We start from the raw sequence: 20168 nt of genomic DNA, 5'->3' as shown, positions 1-20168 counted from the left end.
TGCCTTTTTATTCTATGGGTTCTCAGTGGATTGGATGCTGCCCTCCCACATTAGTGAGGGTGGATCTTCTTTACTCAGTCTACTGATTCAATTGCTAATCTCTTCTGGAAAAAAGCTCACAGATACACGTAGAAATATATATATATTTCTATACATAAAAGACGAAAAATGAGCTGGGCATGGTGGCATGCACCTGTAGTCCCAGATACTCGGGAGGCCGAGGCAGGGAAATTGCTTGAACCTGGGAGGCGGAGGTTGCAGTGAGCTGAGATCGCACCACTGCACTCCAGCCTGGGCAACAAAAAGAAACTCCGTCTTGAGAAAAAAAAAAAAAAAAGACATTATGTGGCTCCCAACCTGAAATATTCTGATTTAATTGGTTTGGCAAGCAATCTGGGCATCAGGATTTTTAAAAGCTCTCCTTTTAAAAGGTGATTCTTGTGTGCAGCAAACTTTGGGAACCACTGGTTTAGTGCTCATATTTATAATGTGAGAACTGAGGCCCAGAAATGATACGCGAGTTGCCTAAACTTTCAAAACTTACAAACAGATTCACTTTAACTGTCATATGAATATTTTGTTCAATAATTGTGTGTAGACCTTAAAAATCAACAACCACTGCAGCTTCCAACCCAAGCCTAATAGTTGTCACTTTTCTGCCAGCAGACAATGTCATCTAGCTCTTTGTGTTGTACTGAGCAAAGTTCTGTATATGAATATCCTCAGGGAAGCAACAAAGAGAAAAAACAGAGAGAGGGGGAAGATTGGAAGAAAAAACACAGGCATTAGGACCAGGTGTGTTATTCTGCTCCTGGATGCCAAGTCAATAGCTGTCTTTGTGTTGTCAATTTTCGAGCTATAAAAACAAAAGACTGTCTGAAGAAGCTCTATGAAGCCTGAAGCCTTATGCTTCTTGGGTGAAAACACAGAATATCTGATAATATTACTAATTTCAATATTAGTAATTTCTATTTAAATTTCATTTAGAGAAAACTGCTTTTAGACATCACAAGAAAAAAGAACATTGCTCAGCATGAACATTTATTATTTCTCTCTGTGGGATTCCACTTCTTTCTGTTTAGAAAATGGAAATTATAGGACAATAGGTAGAAAAACTGATGTTATATAATTTTTAGTTCTTTATATTGGGTATATTAGAATTTGTAATACCATTTTTTCCAGCATAAGAGTTTTTAATCTCCTCAAAGGCAGAGGCTACACTTTCCTTAGCTGGTATATTCTCATTAGCACTGTGCATGGCACAGAGAGGGGTGTCAACAAATGTGGAACTGACATATCTTACTAAAGAAGAAAAACTAAAGGACATATTAAAATGCTTCCAGCAAAAGTCTCACAGCTTTTACTTTAAGAATCAGACACTGTTCATTTTGAAGCTTAAAAAAAAAATCCACACTAAATAGATCTTTCACCTTTAAGCTTCATGTTGTACATCTTTCAAAATAAATATCGTAGTTTCACAGTTTTTATCACTTCAAGGCATTTCAAGACAACAGAAGACTATTCTAATGTACTTGTTCAGTTCAAATGTCTAAGCTGTTAGGCTTTGTTTTTGATTATTTGTATTTGGTCATAAGGCATCTTTTAAGATGTCTTTCAAGCTGTCTCTTGGTCATCTACTCTCAGAATTATTGTTACCAATAAAAGATCCATTCTCTAGTTTTTGAAATAGAACTTAAAAAAATACTGGTGATGGGCAAGATGCATATTCAAAATCAGTCTGCATATTCCTAAAGCAATAGGAATTTTTTTGAACTGGAATTGTATGTGGGGTCCACCCTTAAAGCTGTCCTGCTTGGACTGGGGTCAAATGAAGAAAGGAGACCAGCAACATTTTGAAGTTTACTTTTGGGATAGTAGAGGATAAAATGAGACTTCAAAGAGATATTTCTTTCTGTTATTTTTATCTGCCAGATTAGAGGAGAAAATCATGATGGAATAAACATGTACTTAATTCCTAATTTGGGAATTTTGCAGAACTTAGATCCAAGAGGATGGCTGAGGAGGGGAGTGACTGAGGGAGGGTGTGTGGCAGCAGAGAAGGAATCCCTCAGGGATCCTCTTGCCAGAACCTGAATTGTATTCCCCAGTGGTTACCTTTAAGAAGGAAGAGAGATTGGCAAAGAGGCATTTAGATGAGTTAAGGCTTCATTCAATGTGAGATATAAGCTGCTTTGATCATTCTGATATTGTTGTGGATAGGTAATTCAAAGGGGCTTTTATTGGGAATTGCTTTTAACAAGTTATCAATTGATAATATAGAGCCAGTTTATCTCTTGATATTTGCTCTATAAATGTTTACCTTCCTAAGGAAGCAAGGGTTTTTCAAATGACCCTTATCGGACATTCTGACCCACAGAGTGTGTATCATGTCTTGATCTTATTCGTAGAGTCATATATTGAAAAGGTCACCTGTGATGATGCCACTGATGGTGATACCACTCTCTCATTATTCGAAATACTGTAGATCGTGTGACTCAATATTCTCCTACATAAACATATACCTATACTGCTAGCTTTCAGGCTTTGATAAAATCTCTCTTTGAGTGTACAATTTGGGGCTAAAAATATGATTTTATGGCAGTGAGTGAGCTAGATAAAACTCAAACTCTGAAGGGTTGCAAACTCAGTTCTCAAGCAGCGTACACTATGGCTAATATGGAGTTAGCCATATTTGGGTTTGATTCTGGTCCTGACATTTATTATCATGAGACTTTGTACACCAGTTTTTTAATCTTTAATGACATCCTCTGTAATGGGAACACAAATACTGACTTCTCAGGTGTACTGTGAGGATTATATAAGAAAATGTACATGAGGCATTCAAGATAGTGCCTGGCACATTGTAGGTACTCAATACAGGAGAGTGATTATTATTATTATAATTAGCATTATTATTATTATGCTACTACAGGATAACTCTGTAGGTCAATAAATGAATAAGAAATAGTTTTAAATAAAAATAAAGAGCTTACAAGATTGATGTCCTGCAAGTCAAACATGTAGAATTTGGAATTGTAAATTCCTATACTTCTCATTACCAGTTTGTCTAGGAAGTGCTTAGTCATTACTCTAGAATGAGATCAAAGTTACTTTAATTTTATTAGTGTTGATTCAAATAGGTATTTTATTCTATTGAACACTGTAGGAATAATTAACAGAAGCTGGACATACCAAACAGCTACCATTTGATAGTCATTCCCTTACATGGTAGTGGGAGCTTGGCATGAATGGCTTCTATATTTCATATCATTATTTTTTAGCTGAGATTTTAGGAGTTAGTGGGGGTAACCCATAAACACTACTACCATTGTGCATAGAGTACACTTTTGTTTAAGAAGCCTCCTTTCCCTTAAACAAACCTCAAAACGGAATTTGCCACAATTCAAAGGAAATGCAGTGAAGCTGGGGCTCCCTCAGCAAAAAAAATCATCTCATTCAAAGCATTTAAGTTATACCCTATGATGAATTGAAATACATCATGGATGAGAAAAAATTGGAGGAGAGGTAAGTTATTAAAAATAAAGGGAATGATTTGTCTGTGGGAAAAGGAATAAGAATAAACTCCCTTTCAGCTAATATCCAGAATCTACAAAGAACTTAAACAAATTTACAAGAAAAAAACAAACAACCCAATCAGAAAGTGGGCAAAGGATATGAACAGACACTTCTCAAAAGAAGACATTTATGCAGCCAACAGACACATGAAAAAATGCTCACCATCACTGGTCATCAGAGAAATGCAAATCAAAACCACAATGAGATACCATCTCACACCAGTTAGAATGGCGATCATTAAAAAGTCAGGAACCAACAGATGCTGGAGAGGATGTGGAGAAATAGGAGCACTTTTCCAGTGTTGGTGGGAGTGTAAATTAGTTCAACCATTGTGGAAGACAGTGTGGCGATTCCTCAAGGACCTAGAACTAGAAATACCATTTGACCCAGCGATCCCGTTACTGGGTATATACCCAAAGGATTATCAATCATGCTACTATAAAGACGTGTATGTCTATTGCAGCACTATTCACAATAGCAAAGACTTGGAACCAACTCAAATATCCATCAATGATAAACTGGATTAAGAAAATGTGGCACATATACGCCATGGAATACTATGCAGTATTCCATGAGCTCATGTCCTTTGCAGGACATGGATGAAGCTGGAAACCATCATTCTCAGCAAACTATCCCAAGGACAGAAAACCAAACACCGCATGTTCTCACTCATAGGTGGGAATTGAACAATGAAAACACATGGACACAGGGTGGGGAATGTCACACTCTGGGGCCTGTCATGGGGTGGGAGGCTAGGGGAGGGATAGCATCAGGAGAAATATCTAATGTAAATGACAAGTTGATTTACAGGGTGCGGCAAGCCAACATGACACATGTATACCTATGTAACAAACCTGTATGTTGTACACATGTACCCTAGAACTTAAAGTATAATAATAATAGTAATAAAAAAATACAGTGCTGATCTAGGCCCTATTCATCTCTTGCCTGGACTTCTGCAGTATGTACTCTCTGTCTTTCCTGCCTTCTGTCTTTCATTTCAACAGTTTCTCCTGCATTAGGTACTAAGTCCATTTCTTAGAAATATTCTGTGCTCCCCAATGTTTTCAAGACTAGACTTCACCCTAAAAGTCTTTAACAATTTGGGGGTCATCTGCCCAATCATTCACCTACTTTTTTTGCCCAAAACAGTCTCCTTGCTATACGTTTTAAACACTGTATTTGACACCTCCTTAATCTTTTTCTTCATTGTGTGCTTAGCCTTAATACCATCACACTTAAACTTTCAACTAAATCTTATTTTTCCTTTATGGCTCTACTGAAATTCTTCATTAAGCCTTTTCTGATCACTCTGAACAGCACAGTCTTCTCCTAATCGTCTATGGTAGTGGTTCTTACATAGAAGTATTCAGCCGAAACCTCTATTTTAATCTAAATTTTTAAAGTACAGATGCTTGGGCCCTCTGTCTGGAGGCTGTTAAAAAAAAAAAAAAGAATAAACTCCCTTTCATAATGTTCATCTCCTTGGTAATCAGCAGATACTCCAATTTTTAGCAGGGTTAAATCCTCTTCTGTGAAAGAATGGCCTTTCTTAATTTATCTGTCTCACTGTCATGCATTATGCTCAACTTTAGATATTGGATCTGGAATTGGAAGCAACCGTTTCCTGAGGAGAGGTAAGGATCAGTGATTATAGCACATGAAGGGGTGGTGATGATGCCTGTGGTGGGGCGTTGGGTCCCATCACTAGCCAGTAAAAACGAGGAGGCAAGCATGGCCCTAAACAGGTTCCATGCATTAGCTCACTTAATTCTTTTTAGGAAGAGAAGGGACCGTTATTCAGTCCATTTTACAGATGAGGAAACTGAAGCTTAGCTTAAGTGATAACCGCAAGGTACATTTTTTCAGGGATAAGATTTGAACTCAACCTGCCTGCCTCCAAATCTAATGGCCTTTAACCTTGGGTCCATTAAGCTACCAGTCAGAATAAGTGGGAGTCACCTCCTCTGGCTGAATGAATGAATACATTCAGCTTGAACAATTATAACTATGTGGAGACCACAGCTGTATGCAAAAAACCCAGGCAAATTGCCAGCCCCAAAGGGACTAGAGTTAGGTTACCCTAGGATCGCAGGTGTGAGGGCCTGGTCAAGCTTTTCAGTGCCTCTAATAGGGTGAGACAGATGGGAGCCCGTGTTTCAATCGCTCTCTGCTACTTACTAGCTGTGTGATCTTGGAGAAGTCAAATAAGCTCTCTGAGCCTCAGTTTCTGATCTAATAATGTGGTTAGCAAGAGCTTCTGCCTATAGTAGAATTATTATTATTATTATTTTTTTGAGGCGGAGTCTCGCGCTGTCGCCCAGGCTGGAGTGTAGTGGCGCGATCTCAGCTCACTGCAAGCTCCGCCTCCCGGGTTCACGCCATTCTCCTGCCTCAGCCTCCTGAGTAGCTGGGACTACAGGCGCCCGCCACCACGCCCAGCTAATTTTTTGTATTTTTACTAGAGACGGGGTTTCACCATGTTAGCCAGGATGGTCTCGATTTCCTGACCTCGTGATCCGCCTGCCTCGGCCTCCCAAAGTTGCTGGGATGTAGAATTACTTTTGCTGCTCAGCATCCATTGACTCCTCCCTTGTCAAAGAGTCCCAGATTTCTTTAGGGTTCTGCTCTCTACCCCATTCCCAGTTCCCATGCTTTGGATGCCCTTGTATGTGACTCGGATCTATCCAATAAGAATGTCCTATTACTATGGTTACAGAAATGTGACATGCTAAGAGTCAATGACATGCAATGAGATTTTGGCCCAGGCTCTTGGGGAACCTGTCATTGATGAGAATGAAGCAAACATAGAAGAAGTCAATGTCAAGAAATAGAGGGAGAGACAGTAACATTTGGGACCCTGAATCAAACTGTACCTGAAGCTAAACTTATCCCAGTCTTTTTCATTTAAATGAATAATTGCTTGGGATATTGCAACTGAAAATGTCCTAACCTTACTATATAGTTCTGAAGATGAAAGATGTTTTTGTACATAAATACTCAACAAAATTTCTGACACACATCCAATACACAATAATATTAGCTATTTTAATTTTTCTTATGTTTTAGGAACTTAAACATTTTTATACTTTTAGTTTTTTCTTTATATCTTTTTTATTTCCTTTCAGTAATATTCTTTATTCAATGAGTTGTGTTGCAGTTAGTAACATTTAAAAATGCACTAATTACATATGTGAATAAAAATAAGATTCCCTATCTGGTGAGTGTCTGTAATTGTATTGTATTCCTGGAATCTACTTGACAATATTATCAAAATCCTTAAAAATTTCCATTGTTTTTAACTTAGAAATTCAGTTCTGACACTCTTCCTTAGAAAAACTACATAAAATTCAGACAAAGATTTGTGTGTCAGCACATTATTTATAATAGTAAAAAATTGGGAAAAAAATCCAAGTGTCAAACAAAGAATGGCTAAAAAATTATGATATGAGCCAGTTATAGTACTGGGTATAGTATACCCATTAAATAAAGGTATTTACAAAGAGCTGTTTATAACAATGAAAATGAACACACTATACTGTTAAATGAAAAAGGGATACTGAAGGTACATATAAATTTAGTCATGTAAAATATTTTATCTGTCTTGTATTATGTATAAATATAAAAAAAGAAAGGAAACACCAAAGTATTTTTTAGAGAGATTCGGAGTGTCAGCCATGTGCAACATGTCCCGGAAAAGGTAGAATTTGCTGTCTTTTGTGTCAAATTGATGTCTTAGGGTGTTAAGATGCACTAACAGCTGTATCTAGAAAAAATATTTGGGCTGTTGAATCAGGGGCCCAATTCAGGCATCAACTATCAGTTTTCCCTGGCAAAAATGTAAAGGAAACAAATGGAAGAAACATTTTCCCAGACAGTCAGGGTAACTGTGGAATTAGGATCCCTTCTACTTGGTATTCTACTCACTCATTGCATTTCCCTCCTTAAACCTCCACTTCAAAATGTAACCGGTGCACCATTGGTGGGAGTGTAAAATGGTAAAACCACTACATAGTGAAAAATATTATGGTAGTTCCTCAAAAAACTTAAAAATAGAATTAATATATGATCCAGCAATTCCACTTGTGGATATACCCTCAAAAGAATTGAAAGCATGGTCTCATAGCAACCCATCTTCATAGCAACATTATCCACAATAATCAAAAGGTAGAAGCAACCAAATTGTCCATGGATGGATTAATGGATTAACAAAATATGGTATATACATACACTGGAATATTATTCAGCCTTAAAAAGGAAGGAAATCCTGACACATGCTATAATGTGGATGAACTTTGGGGACCTTATGCTAACCCTGATGATATTATCCTAAGTGAAATAAGCCAGTTACAAAAAAGACAAATATTATATATAATTCCACTTATATGAGATTCCTAGAGTAGTCAAATTCATAGAGATAGAAAATAGAATTGTGGTTCCCAGGAACTGAGGGGAGAGGAAACAAGGAGTTGTTGTTTAATGTATATAGACTGTCAGTTTTGCAAGATGAAAATAGTTCTGGAGATGAATGGAGGTGATAGTTGTACAATCATATCAATGTACTTAATGCCACTGAACGGTGCATTTGAAGTGGTTAAGATAGTACTTTCTAAAGGTATTATACCGTAATAAAAAATAGAAAAATAAATGCAATTTTTGGATTGGTTAATTTTCCAGGTCATTATTAGGACAGGTGTTCTAATATTGTCCTAATATTGTAACAAAACCATGTTTTCTGGGCTCATTATAATTAGAATGTTTGCGACTGTAGTCTCTCCAGTAACAACAGCTACTATTTATTGGGTACCCTTTTTATATCAGATCTTGTGTTTGGTACTTATACATCTGATATTATACAACATGCTGCTATCATGCCCATTTTGCAAAGAAGGAAACAGCCTCAGGGAGGGTAAACGGCTTGCTGAAAGGCAAATTGCCAGTGACTTTCAGGGGCAGGATGTAGGCCTTGGCTTACCCAGCCCCGGATGCAATCTCCCTGAGCCACTCTGGTCTCTTGCAGGTCCATGTCCCAACTTGTCTTATAGCATCAAGCCTTCTAATATTCCAAGGGTTTGGGTCAGAAGTTGGTCCTCTATAGTCACCTGTTTTAGAATCCCCTGCCCTTCCTGGTCACCCTCACAGCAGCTGACTCAATGGCCAAATACTTGAGAGCAATGCATCGATACTACCTTATCCAAGACAGAAATGGGGTTCTTCTAGGTCTGCTTGCTTCTGCTGCTCTAAGACCAGGAGACATTTATTTCCCTGGCTTCTTAAGCTTATGTATGACTCTGGGTTAAACAGTTGTCAAGGACAGTCATTCAGTCACACACTCATTTAAATATTGAGCTACTTCCCTGTGTCAGGTATTGCTCTAGACACTGAAGATTCAGTGGTATCTAAGGAAGAATGGTCCCCGACCTGGAGCTTACAGTTTGGTGGCGGCCAACAGAAATAACCATATAGGCCAGGCATGGTGTCTCACACCTGTAATTCCAGCACTTTGGGAGGCTGAGGTAGGTGAACTGAGTCCAGAAGTTCAACACCAGCCTGGGCAACATGGCAAAACCCCATCTTTACAAAACACACAAAATATTAGCTGGGTGTGGTGGTGCGCCTGAAGTCCCAGTTACTGGGGAGGCTGAGGTGGGAGGATCGCTTGAGCCCAGAAGGCAGAGGTTGCAGTGAGATGAGATCATGCCACTACACTCCAGCCTGGGTGATACAGCAAGACCCTGTCTCCAAAAAAAATAAAAATAAAAAAATAATTTTACAAACAATGGCACAATTAAAATAATTTTAGGTGGTGGTGCTAAGTGCTAAGAAGAAAATTAAACATTAAAGAGCAAGTTAGGGTGGAGGTACTACTATAGCTGGAGTGATAAGGGAAGAGGAGTATCTGAAGAAAGAAAGAAAGAATAAGATGGAGGCAGCCATATGACTGCAGGAAAAAGAACATTACAGGCTGAGGAAACAACAAAAAGACCCTGAAACTGAAATGAGCTGGACATGTTCAAGTTAGAGAACAGAAGCTCTTTCACTGCAGTAGAGTGAATGAGGAGAATCGTAAGGGCTGAGGTTGGAGGAGCCAATGAGGCTTGGTCATGATGACTACTTTGGCCGTAGTGAGGAATTTGGGTTTTACTTAAGGTGCTCCAGGAAGCCATAAGCCAGGGGAGGGCATGCTCTGATTTATGTCTGGGATGAAGGAAGTCAAGAGTGGACGCAGAGCCACCAACTAGGAGGGGGTTGCCAGGATCTAGAGGTAGGATGATGGTGATTAGGACAGCTTACCTTGCGAGCAGAACTGTCTTTCCCTGGGATGACTGTCTTCTTCTGAGCCAGCAGTTATGTAGCTTTTCTCTCTTCCTGTAGCCCTGGAGGCTGGGCAGGACAGAGAAAACCCTTTCCCTCAAGTCTGCAGCCTTGTCTGTTTCTTGCTGGGCCTTGTGGTGGTCCACATGGGCCTGGTCATGGGCAAGCTGCCCTGTCTCAAGCTTCTTCAGGCTCCCTTTGTGAAGCCCCGTGACTATGGAGCCTCGGAGACTCTGCTAACCAAAAATGTCCCTCTCAGTCTCTAAGCAGATTGGGGTGTGCCTGTCCACTAGGCTCTTTAAGTGCCCTGCTTTGTTACATGTGCTCAACTCAAGCACGAACATGCCAGTAAAAACAAAACAAAACAAAACAAAAAACAAACAAGAAATAAAAACAACTCCCAATGGCTTATTAAAAGGAAAGGAAAATATTCCAAAAGATTTTGGACACCAGATAGCTCTTCTTAAACAGAGCTTGATGAGTTAAGTGTAAATGAATCAGAAACATGTGCGTTGGATGTCTCTTTGCAGGCACTGGGGTTTAAAAATGAAACACAAGGGTTAGGGGAATGAGGGAAAACATGGCTGAGTTTTGCAAAGACCTGAATGAGAACTTCACAGAACAGAGGGCCCCAAACACGGTGCAATTTTTCCCTACTCTAATTTCTTTCATCCCCAGACTGTGAAAGCTGCTTGATGTATGTGGCATTCTGTTGCATTTTCCTTGCAGACACTATGTCCCTAGTATTCCTTGTTTCCTTGCCAAAGGCCTTGTTATGCTGCGGGTTAAAATTATGCTTCACCAAAACTATTTTGACTTAAGCATCTTAAGAAGTTCACAGACTTTTTTTCTCATGAAATCCAGGCTTTTGATGGCAAGAGCTGACTCTATCTTTTAGGCTGTGCTCAAGCCTCATGTAGTTGAGAGAGGACACTGTTTTGGCACCATTCAGAAACTTACATGAGCTCCATGACCTTGGGCAAGTCAATAATGATAATATCTCAAAGTCAGCTTTCTCATCTGTAAAATGGGTGACAACTCCTCCATTACCTGCTTCCAGAGTTGTTTGGGAGGGCTGTGTAAATTGCAGAACACATATAAATAAAATGGACGATTACAATGAATATGCCAGAAGGGTTGTGAGTGACTTTAAAATGGTACAATCACCTTATCTGGAAGAGACGTGTAGTAGAGGGGACAGTGAAATGTATTTGTCTTCTTTTATGCTGAGGAAGGGTCAGAATGAGAGAAGAGTTCAAAGTCAGCATGGCTTCTGGTTCATATTAAACAGCTATCATGACCTAGAACCCTGGAATTCTAGGGCTTGGAGAAGATCGTGTTAAACTCTTTATTTCACACTTGAGAAATCTGAGTCAAATGGGGAAACAACTGGCCCAGGTCATATAACTACCCCCAAAAAACTGCCAGGATGCCTGTACCTGATAGAATAAGGTGCATTCTTAGCAGTGGAAATGTCACAAAGAATAGGAGTCAGTTATTTGTGAAGCATTTTCTGAGCATTTTGTGTCTTTATTTATTTATCTTAAATCTCCAGGGCTTAGCATAATTCCTGGGATGACATACACATTTAATAAAAATTTAATAAAAATTTGCAGACTGAGAAAGAGGGAAGAATGTCAGGTAGGAAGAAGATGAGTTGAAAATAAAGGGAAAGCATGATTTCCATCCTGGAGAAACTTACAGTCCAGCTTACAGTCTTGTCTGTGGAAACAAGATGTATTTGGAAAAAAAAAAACTTTTATTAGTCTAACTAGCAGTTTATCAATCTTATTTATTCTTTCAAAAAACCAACCTTTGATTTTGTTAGTCTTTTGTATGGGTTTTTGCATCTCAGTTTCATTCCACTCAGTTCTGATTTTGGTTATTTCCTTTCTTCTGCCAGCCTTGGGATTGGTTTGCTCTGGTTTTTCTAGTTCCTCTAGGTATGATGTTAGGTTATTAATTTTAGATCTTTCTAACTTTTTGATATGGGTGTTTAGCACTATAAAATTTCCCCTTAAAACTGCTTTAGCTGTATCTCAGAGATTCTGGTATGTTGTGTCTTTGTTATCATTAGCGTCAAAGAATTTCTTGATTTCTGCCTTAATTTCATTATTTACCCAAAGGTCATTCAGGAGCAGATTGCTTAATTTCCACATCATCGTATGGCTTTGAGATATTTTGGTATTGATTTCTATTTTTATTGTGCTGCGGTCCAAGAGAGTGGTTGATATAATTTTAGTTTTTTTAAAAATTTGTTGAGAATTGCTTTATGGCCAAGCGTGTGGTGAGTTTTAAAGTATGTGCCATGTGTAGATGAGAAGAATGTATATTTTGTTATTGGGTGGAGTATTCTGTACATATCTATTAGGTTCATTTGGTGAAATGTTGAATATAGGTCCTGAATATCTTTGTTAGTTTTCATTCCATGCTCATGGACAGGAAGAATAAATATTGTTAAAGCAGCCATACTTCCTGAAATAATTTACAGATTCAGCGCTATTTCTATCAAAATGCCAATATTTTTCACAGAATTAGGAAAAAAAATTCTAAAAATCCTATGGAACCAAAAAAGAGCCCAAATAGCCAAAGCAATCCTAAGTGAAAAAAACAAAGCCAGAGGCATCACAAGACCTGACTTCGAATTATACTAGAAGCCTACAATAACCAACACAGCATGATACTGGTACAAAAACAGACACATAGACCAATGAAATAAGTTGGAAAACCCAGAAATAAAGCTGCACACATACAACCATCTGGTCTTTCACAAAGTTGACAATAACAAGCAATGGGGAAAGGACTTCTTACTCAGTAAATGGTGCTGGGATAACTGCTTAGCCATATGTAGAAGATTGAAACTGGACTCCTTCCTTTCACCATACACAAAAATCAACTCAAGATAGATTAAAAACTTAAATATAAAACCTAAAACTAACCTAGGAAATACTATTCTGAACAGAGGCCCTGTCAATGAGTTCATGATGAAGACTCCAAAAGCAATTGAACAAAAACTAAAATTGACGACTGGGACTTAATTAAATGAATAAGCTTCTGCACAGCAAAAGTAACTATCAACAGAATAAACAGACAACTACCAAGGGGAGAATGCACCCAACAAAGATCTGATATCCATAATCTATAAGGACATTTAAAAAATTAACAAACAAAAATCCAACAACCTCATTTAAAAAATGGGCAAAGACATGAACAGACACTTCTTACAGTAAATTATGTCCTTTGCCGCAACACACATGCAGCTGGAGGCCATTCCTAAGTGAATTAACACAGGAACAGAAAACCAAATACCACATGTTCTGACTTATAAGTGAGAGCTAGGAAGGGAGCAAGGGACACTGGGGCCTACTTGAGGGCGAGGGTGGGAGGAGGCTGAGGACGGAAAAACTACCTATTGAGTGGAGAAAAGAAGAGTCTGGATGAGTTCAGAAACTAGGATAAGGATCAATGACAACTGAGTGGAAGACTAGGCATTGAACTTCTTGGTAGCCAAGGCAGAAAAGAGGAGAGATGAATCCCTTTCCTAAATTAAAACAAAAACAAAAACAAAAACACTCCTCTAAACACTCTTGAGTTTTGTGGCTGTTAGCTACTAAACACAAACAAAATGATTAATTGAGACGGAAAAATAATTTTTGTTTTTTTAGTGATGAATCCTAAGGAAAATTGGTCACATGGTTCTTCATATAAGGGATATTGAATTACACGGTCTTTAACAGCAAATTTACAAAAGATGCAGAAACATTCTTCATATGACTGTTTCATTTATTGACATTCAACAAAAACCAAGGACATTATGCAATTATAGCTCCTTGTAGGAATGTCTACACTGGCAAACTAAGGTCATGTAGCCTGACACACTGTTTAGAAGATCTCAACTTACACAGGGATAGATAGGCTTAAGGACTCCTAGGAGGGACATTTAACAAGTTAACCCAGTGGAAACCACCAATGTGCACAGAGTAGGTTATCACCTTAGTTAATTGCTAGTGGAGAAAGATGAGAATAGGGTTTTGAATGAAAGGTATGTAGGTAGAGTGATTTTGACAGTAGAGGGAGGGAGATGGACGGGCAGGATGGAAGGGCTCAGGTTGAAGCAGCATACAGACTCATGATGATTCAACAACAATGTGTCTGGGAGGCCACAGAATTAGATTCAAAGGTAGGTAAAATTCTCACAGAATATACAGTGCTCGTGCAATGAGGCCTACCTTTGAGGCCCCAAATAAGAAATTAAAGAGACAATAAATAGCCCAGGGTTCAAATGATTGTATTTCCAAATGGAAGATATCTCCAATGCCCAGATAAACAGTGTTATTTATGATTCAAGCACTACTGAAAAATGTCAAGAAAATCAAATTTTATCATTTACAGCTTATAAAAGTTATCTACTCTGGTGTCCCAGAGAAAAGCCAGTAGCTAGATACTCTTCCAGAGACCTTTTTACATGTGTGCCTCCCCTATCAGATAATATGCCCTTTGACTGGTTACTTTGCCAATAGAGTAAGCTCTTTATATCTACAGGTTCTGCATCTGTGGATTCAACCAACTGAGGACTGAAAATACTTGAAAACAAAAAGACAGTAAAACAATAAAAAGAATACAAATAAAAACAATACAGGATAACAACAACTTATATAGCATTTGCATTGTATTAGGTATTATAAGTAATCTACAGATGATTTAAAGTAAATAAGAGGATGTGTATATGTTATATGCAAATACTATGCCATTTTATATAAGGGATTTGAGCATCCATGGATTTTGGTATCCATGGGGGTCCTGGAACCAATCCTTCTTGAATACTGAAGGCCAGCTGTACAGTCCTATACTTGGCTTCCATGCTGTGAAAGTCCTTTTCAGGCTCCCGAAATCTCTAACCACAGCCTAAAATTTTGACTTTATTAAACATTGCACATGATATGGTTTGGCTCTGTGTCCCCATTCAAATCTCATCTCAAATTGTAATCCCCACATGTCAAGGGAGGGACCTGGTGGGAAGTGATTGGATCATGGGGATGGTTTCCTCCATGGTGTTCTCAAGAGAACTGATGGTTTTAAAAGTGTTTGGCAGTTCCCTTCTTCTCTCTTTCTCGCCTGATACCTTGTGAAGAAGGTGCTTGCTTCCCCTTTGCCTTCTGCCATGATGGTAAGTTTCCTGAGTCCTCTCCAGCCTTGTGAAACTGAGTCAATTAAACTTTTTGTTTATAAATTACCCAGTCTCAGGTAGTATCTTTAGAGCAGTATGAGAATGGACTACTAGAACACTGTTTGCCCAAATCTTGAGATTGTTCTCAGAATACCTGTGATTCTTTACTTCCCACAAAACCCATGAGCCTATATCAACATTTATTATTATTTTTAAATAACATTAAACTGGCATGGAAAGGGATGTGTGGAGCAGAGAGAGTCAAGAGGGACTTTTCAGAGTGGGTATAATTTAGATGGGGTTATCACATAAAAATGTGAAAAAGTAGATGAGGATATGGCCTGAGCTAGAGGGCTGGGGAAGGGTAATGCTGTTTATGCCAAAAAAAAGAAAAAAGACCCCAAAGTATTTGTAGAGGGAAAATATAGCACTAATAAGTTTCCTGGGTCCCAAATAAGATGGACTACGAATCATGGAAAGGAATTTTGAGGTCATTGTTAACAGCCCAATGTAGTCATTTACAAATGAGAAAACTGAAGCCCAAGTAGACTGCCATTTTTCTAAGGTCAGAAAGTGGCAGAGCTAAGGTTAGAATCCAAACCTGTAGAACCCAAGGTCAGTGCTCTATGCTCACTATGCTGAAGAGCTGTGAGTATGGAAGAGCTGTCTTGTTATTCGTTATTCCTGAGAACTCATTGACTTTGAGGGGCCTGAAAAGCACAGGGAACATGAGATATGTGTGGGAAATGTTCCCAAATCAATAGAAAAGGAGGGAAAGAGAGTGTATGTAGACTGCAAACTTGAAATTTCCTTCTGATGTCTTAATGAGCTCTTGAAAACCAGAGCTGCTGAAAAATAGCGAGAATCCTGTAAGTTTGGGAGGTCTAACAGGCAGAGTAGGCTTGTGATGCACAAAAGATGCCCATGTCAGCCCAGGCAGGCATGTAGCCAGCAGACCTGGCTGTTCATATTTCAGAAAAAGGGCAAAGAGATCAATGGAATCCTTCTGCAGAGGAGAAGAGGCTCCAGCATATGAGTAAGTTACATAGCTCAGCCTCTTCAGAGACAACACAAATCCACTGTGGTCACCTGACTTTATTCTGTGGCTTTTCCACAGATTTGACCAACATTTAGCAATCCTTTTCCCAGAGTTCCATGGCATCTTTCTGTCACCTTGATTGGTGGACAGCTCCTATAGGAACTTGGGTCTCTATGTTATCTTCAGTGGGACTACAGTACTGTATTACCTGTCTGGAAAGTGAGGGGTACGGGAGTCTCACACAAAACACTTTCTCTCCTCCTTTCTTTGCTCTCTTTGATTTTTAACAAAATGTAATGTCACAATGGCAGCCTCAGAGGTCAGACTTCCATTGTTACTTGGCCCCTAGAAGGGGTCTTTAAATCTAGAACTGTTGAAAGTCCTTTGGGATGGAGGTTAAGGTACAACAGCAGGTATCAGGGGGACTATGACAAATGAGAATGGTATCAAAAGAGACTGCTCAAATAAACAGTTGGATGCTTGGAAGTATAGCCTGAAGACCTCGGATCTTTCTCTCCCCTCTGTTATTCTTTCCCCCTAAAACAGAAGATTAAGTTTGCTGTGAACATGAGCTGATGAAAAGAATTCAAATAGTGCTTTGAATAGGACTCCAGTCAGACCCACAGGAGAGCTACAAATTGCTTTTGGAGACACCAGTCTCCCTTTACAGAAAGTTAGCAGAAAGCCCACATATCTTCTTTCTATAAGGTACTAACTTGTAAATTAACCTTTAATGGTGTATAAATGATGTTCTGAAAGAACTGCTTATGCAGCTATATTTATGATCTAGAAAATTGCAAATATTTACAAGATTATAGGTGTTAATGGTCTGTCAAAAATGTTTGTATATTGTACATACATTAAACCCCAGTTTCAGACCACCCTGGTATAAAAGACCACCACTCTCTAGTCCCATATAGTGTTTCACTTTGAATCCATATATGCCAATCCCTATAATTAGCCTGCTCCCTAATATAGATCAAGTCCACTTTATAGGGAATTCTCTCGATAGCTTTCATTTAGTTTACATCCAGTACCCAGGCTGCCTATGTAAACTGTTTGCTAAATGGCCCAGGATGGCCAATCGATCTTATGTCAGCAATGGCCTGTGAACTTGTTCGTCTTGTTTCTGAGTTGGCCCCACTGTAGGGCCTAAGTGCCCTTGTTTGATTGCTTTCCGGAAATAAAATTAAGCATATATTCGTGCCTCTGTGACTCAACCTTTCCGCTAACGTTTGGTCATTCGAGCACAAATGTACATAAGCCACAGACATAATTCAGTTCCAAGAGCTGCTTAATGTTACAAAAGCACCTTAACAATGGTGCTTGACAATGGGAAAGGGCATAGACAAAGGGGGGAAAAGTCTTCTTTCTTCCGTAGTTGTTACTCCTTTTGTGGCTCGTCTCTCTAACTATCTTGCTGTGTTACTGCTCTGTGAGGGGGTATGGCAGGAAAAAAATAAAAAAGGTCACAGGTTGTTTTGAAATGGTTCTTCCATCCTCATTTATTATCTCATTTGCACATTTTCATTAATGTCAAACTGTTTCTATGGCTGTCTCAAGATGATCGTTCTCCCGAGGCATTTGCCAGAGCTATGTCTGCTTCGTAGGAATTTATAGAGCAAACTTATTTTCAAATGCTACAAAAGAAACTGCCTTCCCACCTACTCTGATAAAAAAACATGCAGGAATACGGTTGCTGAAAGTCTTGACTTGAAATGGGTAACTTTTGAATTTCCATATAAATCTCCAAATAATCCCTCCAACACTCCTCCCCCATCTCACCCTTAAAAACAGAGCAGGGAAACAATAAAATCAAATTTCTCTTAATCCCTTTAACGAGCCTTGACGACATATACTTAATTTTCTTGAAAATAAAATAGGTGTTTGGGTGGCTGCGACGGATTGAAACCATTGAAGTTACTGCAGAAGTCTTAAATGGAACAGGCCAACTGGCTTCAGACTCCAAATGAGGAGCAGGATGCCCCAGATGGAAGGAAGAGGCTGGTGACTGCCCTGAGGCATCAGAAACTCTGTGTTGGGGAGAGGGTCGTAGAGCCTTCAATCCTCTCTAGCTTCTCTCTGAGATGATTCTCAGAGCTACCAAGTCTTTCAACCTGCCTAGTATTTGGGAAAGATTTGTTAAAATTATATCAGAATTCTTGGAGGGCTCGGACCTAGAGAATTCCACTGGAGCTGGTCTGGAAATCTCTCCACGTTGATCTTGAAATGCCTTTCAGATCCCTTAGGCTAATGATTCTCCATCTAGAATCATGGCCCTTGGGGACCTGGGCAGGGAGAAATGGTCTTCTCTATGAGATATTCCCAACATGTCTGTGATGGTTAATATTGAGTGTCAACTTGATTGGATTGAAGGATGCAAAGTATTGTTCCTGGGTATGTCTGTGAGGGTGTTGCCAAAGGAGATTAACATTTGAGTCAGTGGACGGGGAGATGCAGACCCACTCTCAGTCCGGGTGGGCACCATCTAATCAGCTGCCAGCATGGCTACAATAAAAGCAGGCAGAAGAACGTGGAAGGACTAGACTGGCTGAGTCTTCCAGCCTTTATCTTTCTCCCATGCTGGATGCTTCCTGCCCTTGAACATGGGACTCCAAGTTCTTCAGCTTTGGGACTCTTAGACAGTTGACCACAGACTGGAGGCTGCACTGTTGGCTTCCCTACTTTTGAGGTTTTGGGACTTGGACTGGCTTCCTTGCTCCTCAGCTTGCAGATGGCCTATTGTGGGACTTCACCTTGTGATTGTGTGAGACAATACTCCTTAATAAACTCCCTTTCATATATACATTTATCCTATTAGTCCTGTCCCTCTAGAGAACCCTAATACAATGTCAGAAACACTCACTGGAGTTATAGAGCTACCCAGGTTCAACTGCAAAGGGGAACTAACACATATTTTCTTTCTGTTAACTCAAATGCTAGCAACTCAATGTGTTTCATGTTGGTCTTCTAACAATGGCAGTTTTTGATTAATAAGAAAATGAGAAAATTATTTCTCAATAACAGCATCTGGTGTGTAGACAATATTGTTCAAAATATAGTATCTGGGAGGAAAGGAAGATAACAAGGTCCGTACAGGTGACAAGTGGGGTGCCACTGGCTTAGGGGTGGGACTCTGCACAGGCTGCTAAGCACCAGGTCACTGCTTTTTAATTTAGGTGCCAAATGAGGAAGCCAAAAAGCAAATGCAAGATGCAGAACCCATTTAGGGACAGATTCCGATCTCTGTTCAATTACCTTGTATGTTTATCTAGGAGAACAAATGGCTGAACAGTCTACTGTATTTGCATGCTCTCAAAAGAGGAGTAAGTTAACTCTCTCTGTCATTTGGGAATTAATCCTCTTTCATGTAGAAAATGTGCATATTAAAATTAGGAAGCCACCCAGGCACTAAGCAGGTGACATCGTTTGGACCTGGCTGTTCCCTAGTGTTGTTTAAAGGAGAGGTAACTGGAGTGATCACCCAAACAGCCATGCTTCTACTGTGCCTGGTGAGGCTGGCAGGGCCTGGGAGGGATTCATCAATTGTTTCAAACTATTTTTTTTGAACATTATGGGTTTGGCAAAACCCCAGACATACTTTACCGAGTACTTTTTTCCTTCATTTTTAAACCCCATGTGTATTTCAAATGCAATCCGTATGTTACTGATTCATTTGCACTTAACTCATCAAAAATGCTGGTTGGGATGAATTAGTTGATGCCCAAGGAGAAGTATGGCCTCCTTTTAAAGGAGATGTTAGAAACCTTGTCCCCACCCGCCCCTATTTGCCAAAGGCGGTGCAAAGTGAATCAGCACCCCTACCCCGCCCCACCACCACCACCACCGATTTTTAATAACATTAGAAAAGGCAATTCCAAGGAGCACTAAATTTGGGGAAATTCTTTATTCCACTCTCCCTCATTTAAAAATCTTGTGCATTTTAAGGGAAATCTAATCCATATGCCTCTGATTCATTTACACTTAAATCATTAAAATGTTGTTTTGAACAAGCCACTTGGTGAACAGAAATGAATATGAGCTTTCTTTTATTATTATTTCTTCCAGCTC

At 39.3% G+C, this 20168-nt stretch overlaps 1 protein-coding gene across 12 annotated transcripts in view; it reads right to left on the bottom strand.

The window, feature by feature from the left end:
• ANKFN1 (ankyrin repeat and fibronectin type III domain containing 1) overlaps nucleotides 1–20168 on the bottom strand; it is a 470940-nt gene that overhangs the window by 236671 nt on the left and 214101 nt on the right. Inside the window, exon 1 of one of the 12 annotated variants that reach the window (XM_017024269.2) lies at nucleotides 9871–10123. The exons of the other annotated variants lie outside the window; for them this stretch is intronic. The gene's annotated coding sequence lies outside the window, so the exon portion shown is untranslated. Of the gene's footprint in view, nucleotides 1–9870; nucleotides 10124–20168 lie in introns of those variants that run through there. 12 annotated transcript variants of the gene reach the window in all.

Source organism: Homo sapiens, chromosome 17 (genome assembly GCF_000001405.40).
Source record: "Homo sapiens chromosome 17, GRCh38.p14 Primary Assembly".
NCBI lineage: Eukaryota > Metazoa > Chordata > Mammalia > Primates > Hominidae > Homo > Homo sapiens.
This window is presented reverse-complemented; position numbering and strand designations above follow the sequence as displayed.